General features: G+C 48.0%; 1 long non-coding RNA gene across 2 annotated transcripts, besides 2 other annotated features; it reads left to right on the top strand.

Annotated features, from left to right (window-relative positions):
• The first annotated feature begins 68 nt into the window (after positions 1–68).
• On the top strand, positions 69–10,232 carry LINC02982 (long intergenic non-protein coding RNA 2982). 2 transcript variants are annotated; one of them, NR_104615.1, is made up of 2 exons: positions 69–138; positions 6,852–10,232. It is a non-coding gene; the product is annotated as a long intergenic non-protein coding RNA 2982 (long non-coding RNA). The 2 variants fall into 2 exon arrangements; NR_104614.1 differs by having other exon boundaries at positions 6,786–10,232.
• Positions 2,136–2,636: an enhancer, noted in NCBI's record as "H3K4me1 hESC enhancer chr5:994888-995388 (GRCh37/hg19 assembly coordinates)". NCBI's record gives its function as "activates a minimal SCP1, AML or CMV promoter by ChIP-STARR-seq in naive H9 embryonic stem cells {active_cell/tissue: H9 hESC(naive)}" and the evidence as "EXISTENCE:reporter gene assay evidence [ECO:0000049][PMID:30033119]".
• Positions 5,564–6,278: an enhancer, noted in NCBI's record as "H3K4me1 hESC enhancer chr5:991246-991960 (GRCh37/hg19 assembly coordinates)". NCBI's record gives its function as "activates a minimal SCP1, AML or CMV promoter by ChIP-STARR-seq in primed H9 embryonic stem cells {active_cell/tissue: H9 hESC(primed)}" and the evidence as "EXISTENCE:reporter gene assay evidence [ECO:0000049][PMID:30033119]".
• Positions 10,233–12,722: the final 2,490 nt, after the last annotated feature.

Genomic DNA, 12,722 nt, shown 5'->3' with positions numbered 1-12,722 from the left:
GAGTTGCAGCCTGCAAGTAACCATCCACAGGCTGGGAGGTGTGGCCTCCACCCTAAACCGGAAGCAGGCACTTTGAGGGTGGGGAGGATGAGACAGGAATGTGCTGACCGTGGTGGCTGAGAGGCTACAGGAGGCACTGTGAGTACTCTACAAGGGTGAGGGGCACGCATGCACAGTGAGCTCACATGTGTGTTACATGTGTCCTGTGTTCACTTTGGGGTGGAGACTTCACATTTAAGTGCATTGAAATGAGGCTCTGTAGGTCAAAAGGTGAAATGAAGGACACAGAGGCATCCTGTGTGCAGCCTCTACACCAGCTAGAACCAGTCCACAGTCAGGATCTGTTATCAGGAAGGAATGCTGGCTGGTTGTTGTGTCAAAACTACACGAGGGGTGGGGAGTCTGGCAAATCTTTCAAAAGGGCTTTCTGTTTACCCTTAGGAAAGAAACTCAATGGCAGCGGTTAGTGAGGGAGGGGGCATAATGAGGTCTGTCTGGCATTTCATCCCTTCATGGCTTGGAACCCAGTGTTTAAGGTTTCTCTGGAGTCCCCTTGGCCAAGAAGGGGTTCATTTAGTCAGTTGGAGGTCTTGGGATTGTATTTTTATTTCTCAATGTTCAAATATTCTTTAAAAGTGCACTTTACCCTTCTGCCTGGTCCTTGAAGGTACAAATGTAGGGACATGGGTTTCACCATTTCTTCCCATCAAGCAGCTACATTGCTTTTAGTTTGCCATTGCAGGTAACATTGTATTGGGTGGCCTCCTTCACAAATTCCTGTTTATGTTTCTAAGTGATTCCTGAAACATTCCTCTTCCCTGGAAGAGGATGGAACTGCTTTTGTTCTTAGAGGTGCAGCCGCTCAGAAAGCTGTTGCCAGCCCACATGCCCACATGCCCACCAGCCACACAGGGGCAAGCTCGTTTCCTTTCCAAACTGTAGCAAACTGAAAAACAAAGTCTCATGATGGTTTCAGTGTTTGTTTCCTTGGTCATGGGCAAGGTTGACATCTACGTTGAATGTCTACAGTTATATTTCTCTTTCCATTATGGTGTTGTTTTCTTGATTAGTAAGAGCTTTTCCTCTGTGAAGGATATGTTTTCTCTGTAATTTTGCTGCAAACATTCACCCAGTTTGCTATTACATTTATCTGGTTTTTGATTTTTTTTGTGTGTGTGTGTGATGGGAGTCTCGCTCTGTTGTGCAGGCTGGAGTGCAGTGGCGCAGTCTCGGCTCACTGCAACCTCTGCCTCCTGAGTTCAAGCCATTCTCCTCTCTCAGCCTCCCAAGCAGCTGGGACTACAGGCACATGCCACCACGCCCGGCTAATTTTTTGTGTTTTGAGTAGAGATAGGGTTTCACCATGTTGGCCAGCCTGGTCTTGAACTCTCGACCTCAGGTGATCCACCCACCTTGGCCTCCCAACATGCTGGGATTACAGGCATGAGCCACCATGCCTGGCCCTGTTTTTTGATTTATAGAAGCTTAACATCTCTATGTAGTAAAAGAAAAAAAGTACATTCTTTTCTTATTTAATAGTGTAATCGGGAATCTTTGCCATTGGAATGGGCTGCTCCACGGTGTAGGTGTGAGTGATACCTGCCCAGTGGTGTTTCAAGCACCCTGCTCACTGCTGGGTCACCAGGTGGTGCTACAAGGTTGCCAGGGACCAGCCATGGCCCGTGTCCTTAGCTGCCTCTGCTCCCCTGGAGCTCACAACCTCAGCAGGATGGGGGTGGAGTGGGGTCTAGACTTTGGGTCCATTCCCTTCTGACTCATTTGCTGCTAGAAACGATTTGTGGCATCCAGGGGGCATTGTGTGCATGTGCTGTGGGGTAAGCACAGGGCTGGGCATCTGTGGGTGATGAACAGGTATGCCTGAGGGTGCTCACCGCCCCAGCAAGCAGGTGGCAGCAGGTCCTGGCTGTCTAGAGCACAGGACATTCACATGTGGAAGCTGGGCTGGGGCAGGTGGCCCCTTTGCACCTGCAGCAGAGCTGGCTTGGTGTCCGGCTGGAGGTAAGGACAGCCAGGTGGAGAGGGGGCGATGAGGGTGGATGGAGTTGCCCCTGAATGGAGATGTAGGCTCTGAGAGTCTTCCGTAGCCTTCCCAACAATGCCCTCCTGCAGGCAGGCCCAGGCCCACTGAGGTTTCCTCCTGCAGACAGCCCACCTGCCACCAACCCAGGCACTGACTGTCTCCTTAGAAACCAGTCTCCAACTCTTGGGCTGCAAAAGGAGATTGTGGCCACACTAGCTTCCGGGTTTGAAGTCCCCCAGGCCAGTGGGACATGGTGTAGGAAGCGGCCTTCTTCTTAGTGTTTCCCTCCAGAAGGCTGTGGGGAGGTGGAAGGGGCAGGCCTGCAGCCCCACCAGGCGGCCACAGTGAGGCTGGCTGGCCCAACTCACCCCTCCCAGGAAAAAGGATGGAGCACCCCTGGCCTCTGGTACCCACGGAGCCACTGGCAGGAGGCAGCCTGAAGTCCAGGCTGTTTCTCAGTTGGGCCAGACCAGTTGTCCCAGATGAAAGAGGTTGCCAGGCAGCTTTCTCTTGAGGCCTCCTCATGGCTGTTGACCAGAAGGCCACCTGCCCATGGGCTGTCATGTCTGTTTCCTGGAGCCTCAGGCCCACCCAATGGGCAGCACTCTGCATGGACTCTGAACACTGCATGGGGCCTGGGCATGGACACTGTGGGCTCCCAGCTGGCTGAGATGTGGAAGCGCTCTATGTGGGGGGCCCTCACCATGGGTGAGCCCAGGGTCCACTGAAGTAGAGGAGAGTTGTACCTGATGACACTTCTCTGCATACCTGCCCTCCAAACATGCACACACACGTTCACATGCATGCACACAGCACATGTACCCATATACAAGTTCACACAAGCACACACAGAGCCTGTGCACGGGGATAGATGCCTTTTGCATTTTCAAGGGCTCCATTGCCCTCTGCATGTAACACGCCCCACTTCCTGGGCCCTGAGCTTGGTTTAATGCTCTGCTGTTGCTGTCTTGAAATTCTTAACTTTTGAACAAGGGGTCCTACATGGACATCTTTCCCTGGGTCCTGGAAATTCTGTGGCAGGTCCTGCTTCCATGGCCTCTTATGGAGCAGGATCTATCCTAACAGAAGGCCAGCCTGGGAGCTGGTCCTTCCTCGCTCCTGGATGAGAATGGGCATTAGCCCTCCCAGGTACTCCCTGCTCCCCTCCCCTCCTCTCTCCCCTTCATTCTCCCTTCCCCTCCCTCCTTTCTCCCCTGGTCTCTCTGTCCTCTCTCCCCTACTCTCCTATCTCTCTTCCCTCCTTTCCTCTCCTCTCTCCCCTCCTCCCCTGGAGCCTGCAGGTACCTCCCATTTATAAAAGTTTCTTGCCGTGTAAGGGTCTCTGTGCAATTTGCAGGCAGAGTTCAGCCTTTGTGAAAAAGCCCTGTGAGGGGGCAGTGCATGCTGGGTCCTGGCTGTCATTCCCGTCCCACCGCTGACCCACTGGCCCTGCAGAACCTGTGTCACTCGTTCCTCCTCCAGACCCCATATCTCTTCCACATTGGGCAACTTGAGAGCGACAGACTGAGAGGTGGGGCTAGCTCGACTCCGATACTCTCTATCAACCAAGTCTGAAAAAATGGGTTTAAAGAGGTCGCTGCTGCTGTCTGGCTACTTCCTGCTTGCACAAGCTCTCCTGGAAATGACCACAGATTCCATCATCCTGGCTGACAGTCAGGGAGTGGGGGTGGAGGTTGAACTCCAGCCTTCTCCTCCCTGCTGTTTCTCTAAGAGCAGAGGGTGGGCTGTCCTCTCTGCAGTCACCCCAGAAATGGTTTCCTCGGGAACAGCCTGGGTGAGGAGTAGGAGGTGGCTCTGTGCCCATCCAGCTGCTCACGGCTGCTCAGCCGGGCCTCACAATCTGGGGTCATTTTCTTTTTTTTTTTTTTTTTGAGACGGAGTCTCGCTCTGTCACTAGGCTGGAGTGCAGTGGTGCGATCTCAGCTCACTGCAAGCTCCACCTTCTGGGTTCACGCCATTCTCCTGCCTCAGTCTCCTGAGTAGCTGGGACTACAGGCGCCCACCACCACGCCCGGCTAATTTTTTGTATTTTTAGTAGAGACGGGGTTTCACCATGTTAGCCAGGATGGTCTCGATCTCCTGACCTCGTGATCCCCCCGCCTCGGCCTCCCAAAGTGCTGGGATTACAGGCGTGAGCCACCGCGCCCGGCCGACCTGGGATCATTTTCTTCTGAACAACAGACCCCAAATCCAGGATTCTCCTTCATGGTGTCCCGGGACTCGACAAGGGTCCTCAGGGCAAACACCTGATGTGGCCCAGGCCTTCCATCAACAGTCGGTCCTCAGAGCCTGGGAACTTCAGAACCCCTCCCGCTCCCTGGTAACTCAGAGTTGCCGAGCATGTCACACCGTTCCCGAGAGCAGGGACCCCGTGTTACTCAGGGCACACAGTAAGTGCTTAATAACCATGCTGCACTGTGGAATGGAAGTGACCTGTTCTCTTTCCTGGGTTTTCCAAGTGTCCATAGATATGTCCCAAGAGGGAATGCACTTAAAAAAAAATCAACTCCCCTTCTACACAAGCCCTCCCTCCCTTGCCTGTTGCCCTGGCCACCTGCTTTTTCTCCCCAGTGAGTACAGGGGGCTCCCAGCTGCTCGGCAGTGATGGACAAAAGAGCCTTGCTCTGCTGCCCTGGGGGTTTCTGTCCTGGGCTTCTCTCCCGCAAGCCCATGGACACTTGGTGCTAAAAAGTTTTCGCCCAGCAGAAATTGCCTCTTTAATTTTAATGCTTATAACTTCCAGGAACTTCATTAAAGATAAGCCCCTCTCCTGGGATTCTAGTTGCCAGTTATTCCTCATTATTTCCCAACCCTGCCGGACATCCCAGGCCTCACGGCCTCTCAGCTGCACACAGGGTTCAGCCCCCAGAGCTGCCTTTCTGCTCCTTGGCAGCCGTTCCTTCAGTCTCACTGAGGAGTAGGAGACAGAGAATGTTCTGTGGGACCACAACCGAGACAGAAGAGCTCTGGATCGAAGGGGTTAAAAACCACCACTTTTATTTTAAAAAAAAAAAAAAAAAGCACAACAGGACAGACCCGTGGTTCTGTTCCTGTGCCACTGAGGGATGCCTGACCTTGCACAACTTAGGGTCATCTCGATTTCTTTATCGCAGAGGCTGGGGGTGGAGCCATGCCATTTCTGATGGGACCTGTGCAGGAGGGGTCGCCCGGGTGGGCACAGTGCCGCTCTCTTTGCTCTCCCTGGAAGATGGGCTTGGTCTGCAGTCCACACATCTCAGTCCTTACTTGCCCATGTACCAAGGTCCTGGGCACTCCACCTCCCCTTGGGCCAGACAGACCCTGATGCTGCCTGGGAGCCTGCAGAGAGAGGCGGTGCAGATGAAGGCCACCAGGTTCCAGAAGCCCCCTGCCAGGGCATCCTCTTGGCTCAGTCCCATAAAATCACTGTGGGGAGCAGGAAGTATCTGGGCCAGGCCCCCTGATCTTCAGGGCTAACCCTGGGCCAGGATGGAGATGAGGTGTACGGTGGAATTCTGCACTGGTGAGAAGTCCTGGAAGGGCTGAGAGCCGGGGAAGGGATTGCATTGGTTTCTTTCTGATCATCAGAGGGTGTGATGGGCATGCAGGTCCTCATCGCCAGTCTCCTCTGCTCCAGCACCCAGGGGCTCGGCGTCTGCCCACTGGTCCCTACCCCTCCTGGGGTTGGGGGTGGCACTGAGGGAGGAAACAGAGGCCTCCCAGGGCCAAGCCACACAGGCCAGCTCCATCTGTCTCACCCACCTCCCTGAGCTCACCATGGGCTGTGGGCCATGGCTGGTGGGCCAGGTGTGCTAAGTCCCCAGGCCTGGCCCCACAGCTTGTGGGCAGTGGTGGGGACAGGATGTGACAGCCGACCTCCTCTGGTACAAGCCTGTCTGCACCTGCCCCCTGTGACTGGGAGGCTCAGCTTCCCAAGCATAGCTGAGCTCCAGGGACAGCCACTCATAAACCTAAAAATTGGCCGGGCGTGGTGGCTCACGCCTGTAATCCCAGCACTTTGGGAGGCTGAGGCGGACGGATCATGAGGTCAGGAGATCGAGACCGTCCTGGCTAAAACTGTGAAACCCTGTCTCTACTAAAAAATACAAAAAAAATTAGTTGGATGTGGTGGCGGGCACCTGTAGTCCCAGCTACTTGGGAGGCTGAGGCAGGAGAATCACTTGAACCCAGGAGGCAGAGCTTGCAGTGAGCCGAGATGGTGCCACTGCACTCCAGCCTGGGCGACAGAGCGAGACTCCGTCTCAAAAAAAGAAGAACATGAGTTCCTCTGTGGTTGGGTGGAGGGTTCTGTAGGCATCAGTCAGATCGTGCTGATCGATGTTGTCCAATGTTCTTTATTTTTTTTATTTTTTTGAGACGGAGTCTCGCTCTGTTGCCCGGGCTGGAGTGCAGTGGCGCGATCTCGGCTCACTGCAAGCTCCGCCTCCTGGGTTCATGCCATTCTCTTGCCTCAGCCTCCCGAGTAGCTGGGACTACACAATGTTCTTTCTTGCTGCTTTGTCTGCTTGCTCTTTTTTCAATTATTGAGAGAGTGATGTTGAAATCTCTTACTGTAATTGTGATTTTAAAAATTTCTCCTTGCAATTCTATCAATTTTGTTTCAAGTATTTTGAAGCTTTGTAATTACGGGCACAAATAATTAGGACTGCTATGTCATCTTGATAAATTGCCTCTTTATGAAATGTCGCTTTTTTACCCTTGGTAATATTCTTTGCTTTGACAGGAGGGGTGCTGGGGGCTTGATGCCACCAAGGACCCCAGACCAAGTCATCTTTTTTTTCTCGCTCAGCTTTGAAGGGAAGTTAAAGACAAAGAGGAAGAGGCTGTATTTCATTCTCCCAGATGGCTCCTGCCAGCCTCCAGAGAAAAGGCAGCTTTCTTCTTTAGAAAATTGGCAGGACAAAAGAAGGAAGTCGACTTGGAAAGTCCAGCGACAGACCTCGTGCCCCTGCTCTGGGAGGCCGCAGGTCAATGGCTCCCCCTGGCTTCAGGGGACACAGCTCAAGCCTGGAAGGAGCCCATGGCCAGCCTGAAAGCCTTGCTCACACCCAGCATCCGCAGCTGGGGCAAGAGCGGCTACTCCCAAGACAGGAAAAGACACACAGCCTAACTTTGCCACTGTGAAGGGAGACTTCTCTCTAATGCCTAACTAGACACTTATCTTCCAACCTCCTCAAAATGCCTTCAATAGAAGTCCCAGGAAGACACGGAGCCCCAGCCGCCCACTGACTCCTACAGGATGCAGCTGCGCCAGGCAGCCCATCCCAGGGGGCCCAGGCCAAAGAGGGGCCAGGGTGCTTCCCCTGAGAATGAAAAGGGATGTCGGGTAGAGGGGGAGGGTGATGTGGGACTCGCTGGTGGCTGTTAAAGGAGCTCGCGTCTCGGTTCCTGCAGGAAAAGTGCTTTGAGCACTCGCCTGGCCTGGTGAAGAAGGAAGGCAGTTGGCGGGCATTTTTGGAAGCTCTCACCCCCCATGCTGGTCCTGGTACCCCTTCTCCAGGGATGCGGGGCCCACATTCATCACAGTGGGGTTCCATAGATGATGGTCCTGTCATATCAGGGTTCCCATTGAAGGGGGCCCTTTTTGGCACTTTCTTTTATTCCATTAGTCTGTTTGCCTGGTCACACATTTTATTGCTTTTTCCCGCAAAAGAATCAATGTGGGAATTTATTTATTTATTTATTGAGACGGAGTCTCACTCTGTCACCCAGGCTGGAGTGCAGTGGTGCAATCTCAGCTCACTGCAACCTCCGCCTCCCTGGTTCAAGCAATTCTCCTGCCTCAGCTTCCCAAGTAGCTGGAATTACAGGCATCTGCCACCATGCCCGGCTAATTTTTTGTATTTTTTGTATTTTTTTTTTTTTCTGAGATGGAGTCTCTCTGTGTTGCCTAAGCTGGAGTACAGTGGCGTGATCTCAGCTCATTGCAACTTCTGCCTCCCAGGTTCAAGCAATTCTTCCTGCCTCAGCCTCCCAAGTAGGTGGAATTACAGGTGCCCACTACCATGCCTGGCTAATTTTTGTATTTTTTAGTAGAGACGGGATTTCACCACATTGGCCAGATTGGTCTTGAACTCCTGACCTCATGATCCACCTACCTTGGCCTCCCAAAGTGCTGGGATTACAGGTGTGAGCCACTGCACCTGGCTGATTTTTTATATTTTTAGTAGAGACGGGTTTCACCATGTTAGCCAGGATGGTCGCAATCTCCTGACCTCGTGATCCACCCACCTTGGCCTCCCAAAGTGCTGGGATTACAGGTGTGAGCCACTGCGCCCAGCCAGGAATTTATTTTTAAATTAAATTTGATTTATTTAGTTTCCTAACCCTTTTATTGTTTTTAGGCAATTTTTTGAAGTATAATATGAATAAGAAAATTATGGTGAATTGTTACAGCATCGAGACCTCCAAGACCAGGACATAGAACAATCCCAGCCCCCAGAAACCTCCACCCCATAAGGCTCCACAACCCCTCTTCTAACACACAGATTACCTTCAGCTCTTCTTGAACTTCATATAAGTGTGAAACTCACCCATGCTGTTGAACACAGCACTGTTTCATTCATGTAAGCGGCCTTATAGTATTCCATTATGTGAACGCAGTTTATTATCCGTTCTGTTAATCACAGTAGTTTTTACCTGTTGTGAGTAAGGGTGTCACAAACAGCCTCATGTGTACTTTGTGGCAGATGGAATTCTTGTACAGATGTGGAACATACACTGGATTTGAAGTGCTGGGTTATAGAGTATGCACATGCTCAGCTTTATCAAACAGGGCTTAACAGCTTTTCAGAGTGGCTGTGCCAACTCACACTCTCCAACAGTCTATGGGAGTTCCAGTTGCCCCACACCCTTGCCACCACTTGCAATTGTCAGCTGTAAATTTTAGCCATTTTGTCGGGTGTATATTGGTATTTTATTGTGTTTTTGATACTCGTTGCTCCCGCAATCGTTGAAGTTGAGCACGGTTGTATATGCTTATTGGCAATTTGGATACTGTCTTTGCGTTTTCAAAAATTGGGTTTTTGTCTTTTATTGATTTGTAGAATTTCTTTATTCTGAATTTGAGTTCTTAGTTGTGCTTGTGTGTGTGCACATAGTAAACACACACACAGGTTAAAATAATTGGGAGATCATTAGAATGAGATGACCCCAGCGCCTTGGGTTTCAACTCAAGCAAACCAAAGTCCATCTCAGTGTACATGGTTATAGTTCAGGTAAGCAGAAACCACCGGCTGATCTCTAACACGGGGCTTTTGACTGGAATGATTTCTTTCCCTTTCTTTCTCTTTCTTTCTTTCTCTCTTTCTCTCTTTCTTTCTCTCTTTCTCTCTTCCTTTCTTTTTTTCTTTCCTATCTTTCTGCCTTTCTTTCCTTCCTTCCTTCCATCCTTCCATCTCTTTCTTTTTCTTTTCTCTTTCTTTTCTTTCTCTCCCTCTCTCTTTCTTTCCTCCCTCCCTTTCTTCCTTCCTTCCTTCTTTCCTTCCTTCCCTTCCTCCTTCCCTCCTTCCCCTCCCTCCCTAAAATTCATAGAATAAAAAAATGCCTGAATAGCCAAAGTAATCCTAAGCAAAAAGAACAAAGCTGGAGGAATCACATTACCTGACTTCAAATTATCTTACAAGGCTATGGTAACCAAAACAGCATGGTATTTAGGATTGTTTTCCCAATTCTTTGAAAAGCGATGTTGGTATCTTCATAGGAATTGCATTGAATCTGTAGATTGCTTTGGGTAGTGTGGTCACTTTCACAATATTGATTCTTCCAATCCATGATCATGGGATGTATTTCCGTTGGTTTGTGTCATATACAATTTCTTTCAGCAGTGTTTGCTAGGTCTCCTTGTAGAGATATTTCACCTCTTGGTCAAGTTATTTCTAGTTATTTTATTTTACTTTTTGCAGCTATTGTAAAAGAGCTCGGGTTCTTGATTTGATTCTCAGCTTGGTCATTGTTGGTGTATAGCGGTGCTACTGATTTGTGTACATTGATTTTGTAACCTGAGACTTCACTGAATTCATTTATCAGCAATTCATTCATTTTTAGAGGATACTTGGTCCATGCACATGTCAGAGATTGTTGTAATGTTTCTTTCTTGCAATGATCTCATCACATTTTAATCACAAAGTCAGGCTAGTCTTTTAAATAAAGTTGCAAAGCATTAATCATTTTTTCTCTTCTCTGGAAGAGTTTGTGTAAGATTGGTGTTTTTTCTCCCACAAACGTTTGGAAGAATGGTTTGCTGGTGGAGCCAACTGGACCTGAAGTTTTCTCTGTGGGAACATTTTAAATAAGATTGTTCAGGACTCATAAATTTTTCTTGCATCAGTTTTGGCAAGTTGTGTTTTTCAGAGTTTGTTCAATTTTTCTAAATTGTCAAATTTATTGGCATAAATTGTTCAGCATATTCTTTTATTATTAACTTAGTATCTGTGGGATCTTTAGTGATGTCTCCATTTTCATTTTTGATATAGTTAATGTTGGGAGAAAAGCTGAGTGTTGGGAGAAGCTGAGGCAGGGCTTGCATGTCTGACATAATGTAAAAGAGTCTTGGAACATGTCCGGGGTCCAGGATCTAAAACTCCTCGTGGCCTTTGGAACACCGAGCTCTGTGCTAAAGAGTGGAAGCCTACCCTGATGCACCATAATCTAAGCCCAGGGCATAAAACCCCTCATGGCTTGGATGGAATCCAGGTCAGAAACTATGTTCTGTATGTTTTCAACACCACCAATTTTGGGGGGACTCTTTAATGATCCAATGGGCCATTAGTTTTGGTAATGTTCCTTGTCTACTTGGAGAAATTCATAGGCTGAAGTCAGTCCTCATGCACGGGGCTCTGTCCATGCTGACCAAGTCAAATTTGTTGATCATTTTTCCCAAACATTCTGCTGGTTTTCTGTTTGCATGAGACACCTTTCCTATCTGTTGGGAGCAGGCCCCCCAAAATCTGGTCATAAACTGGCCCCAAAACTGGCCATAAACAAAATCTCTGCAGCACTGTGACATGTTCATAATGGCCATAACGCCCACACTAGAAGGTTGTGGGTTTACGGGAATGAGGGCAAGGAACACCTGGCCCGCCCAGGGTGGAAAACCGCTTAAAGGCATTCTTAAGCCACAAACAATAGCATGAGCGATCTGTGCCTTGAGGATATGCTCCTCCTGCAGTTAACCAGCCCAACCTATTCTTTTAATTCGTCCCATCCCTTCGTTTCCCATAAGGGATACTTTTAGTTAATTTAATATCTATAGAAACAATCCTAATGACTGATTTGCTGTTAATAAATATGTGGGTAAATCTCTGTTTCGGGGCTCTCAGCTCTGAAGGCTGTGCGACCCCTATTTCCCACTTCACACCTCTGTATTTCTGTGTGTGCGTCTTTAATTCCTCTAGCGCCACTGGGTTAGGGTCTCCCCGACCGAGCTGGTCTCGGCACTATCCTTCTGCCTTTAGGCACCTGCACTACCGAGTACCATCTAAAGGAACATATCATTTGTTTTGTTTTATTTTTATAATCCAGCATGACAATCTTTGTCTTTTAGTTGGAGTATTTGTGTAATTTATATGACTACATTAATTAACGATACTTCTGTGCTTAGATTTACCCCATTACAGTTTTCTTCATTGTGACCTCATTAGCTGGTTTTCATCTTTTCCTGTTAGTTTTTGATGAGTTAATACTTTTTCTTATTTTTCTCCACTAAGCTTTTAGTCATGTGCATTTTAAATCATTCTCTTAATGACTCCTCACCTGCATTGGTGATGTATCAGACTTAGCACACTTGCTCCTGGATGCAAGCACGTTATAATTCTTTAACCTCATTTTCCTATCCTGGCTTTTGCATCATTTTTCTGTATCCTAATTGTATGCATATTTAATTCTACAATATATCATTATTTTTATTGTTTTCAGTGGGTTTGCCCACAAGTTTACCTTTTCTATTGATTTTCAAATTTTCTCCTATTTTCTTGTGTTTGAAAACAAGATATTTTTGGATAATTTGCCTTTGGCCTGAAAAAGTTCCTTTACATTTATTTTAGTGAAGATTAGTGGTGATAAATTCCCTCAAACTTTTCATCTGAATACATCTTCAGTTCATGTTTATTTTCATAAAAATATTTTAACTGGATATAAGATTCTAGGTGAGCTGTTATTTTTAACCCCAGAATTTAAAAATACATCATTCAGTTGTCTTTCAGCTTCCATTATTTTCTGTTGAGAAGTAAAACATCAGCCTATTTACTGTCACAATTTTTCTCTTCCTTTTTATTTTTGACTGTAAGATGCCCAGGCGTGGTTTTCTTTGCATTCATTTTGCTTCATGTTTGCAGAGCTTCATAGATATGTGGTCTGATGTCTTTCATTGATTTTGGGAATGTCTTAACCAGTGTTTCTTTAAATATTCTTCTCCCTCATTCTCTCTCTTCTTCTTCTGGGACTCCAGTCCATACATGTCATGCATTTGCATCATGTCTCATACGTTGTCACGCCCTTTTTTCTACTTTTTTCCTTTTAGTTTTGATTGCATTATTCTTTATGTGTTCTACCTACCTAGCTTCTGGTTCACTGATCTTTATTCTGATGTTCAATCAGTTGCTAACCCCATCTTTTAAGTACTTTCAGTTAATACAGTTCTTAGTTCTAGTATTTCCATTTG

This window comes from Homo sapiens, chromosome 5 (genome assembly GCF_000001405.40).
Source record: "Homo sapiens chromosome 5, GRCh38.p14 Primary Assembly".
Lineage (NCBI taxonomy): Eukaryota > Metazoa > Chordata > Mammalia > Primates > Hominidae > Homo > Homo sapiens.
This window is presented reverse-complemented; position numbering and strand designations above follow the sequence as displayed.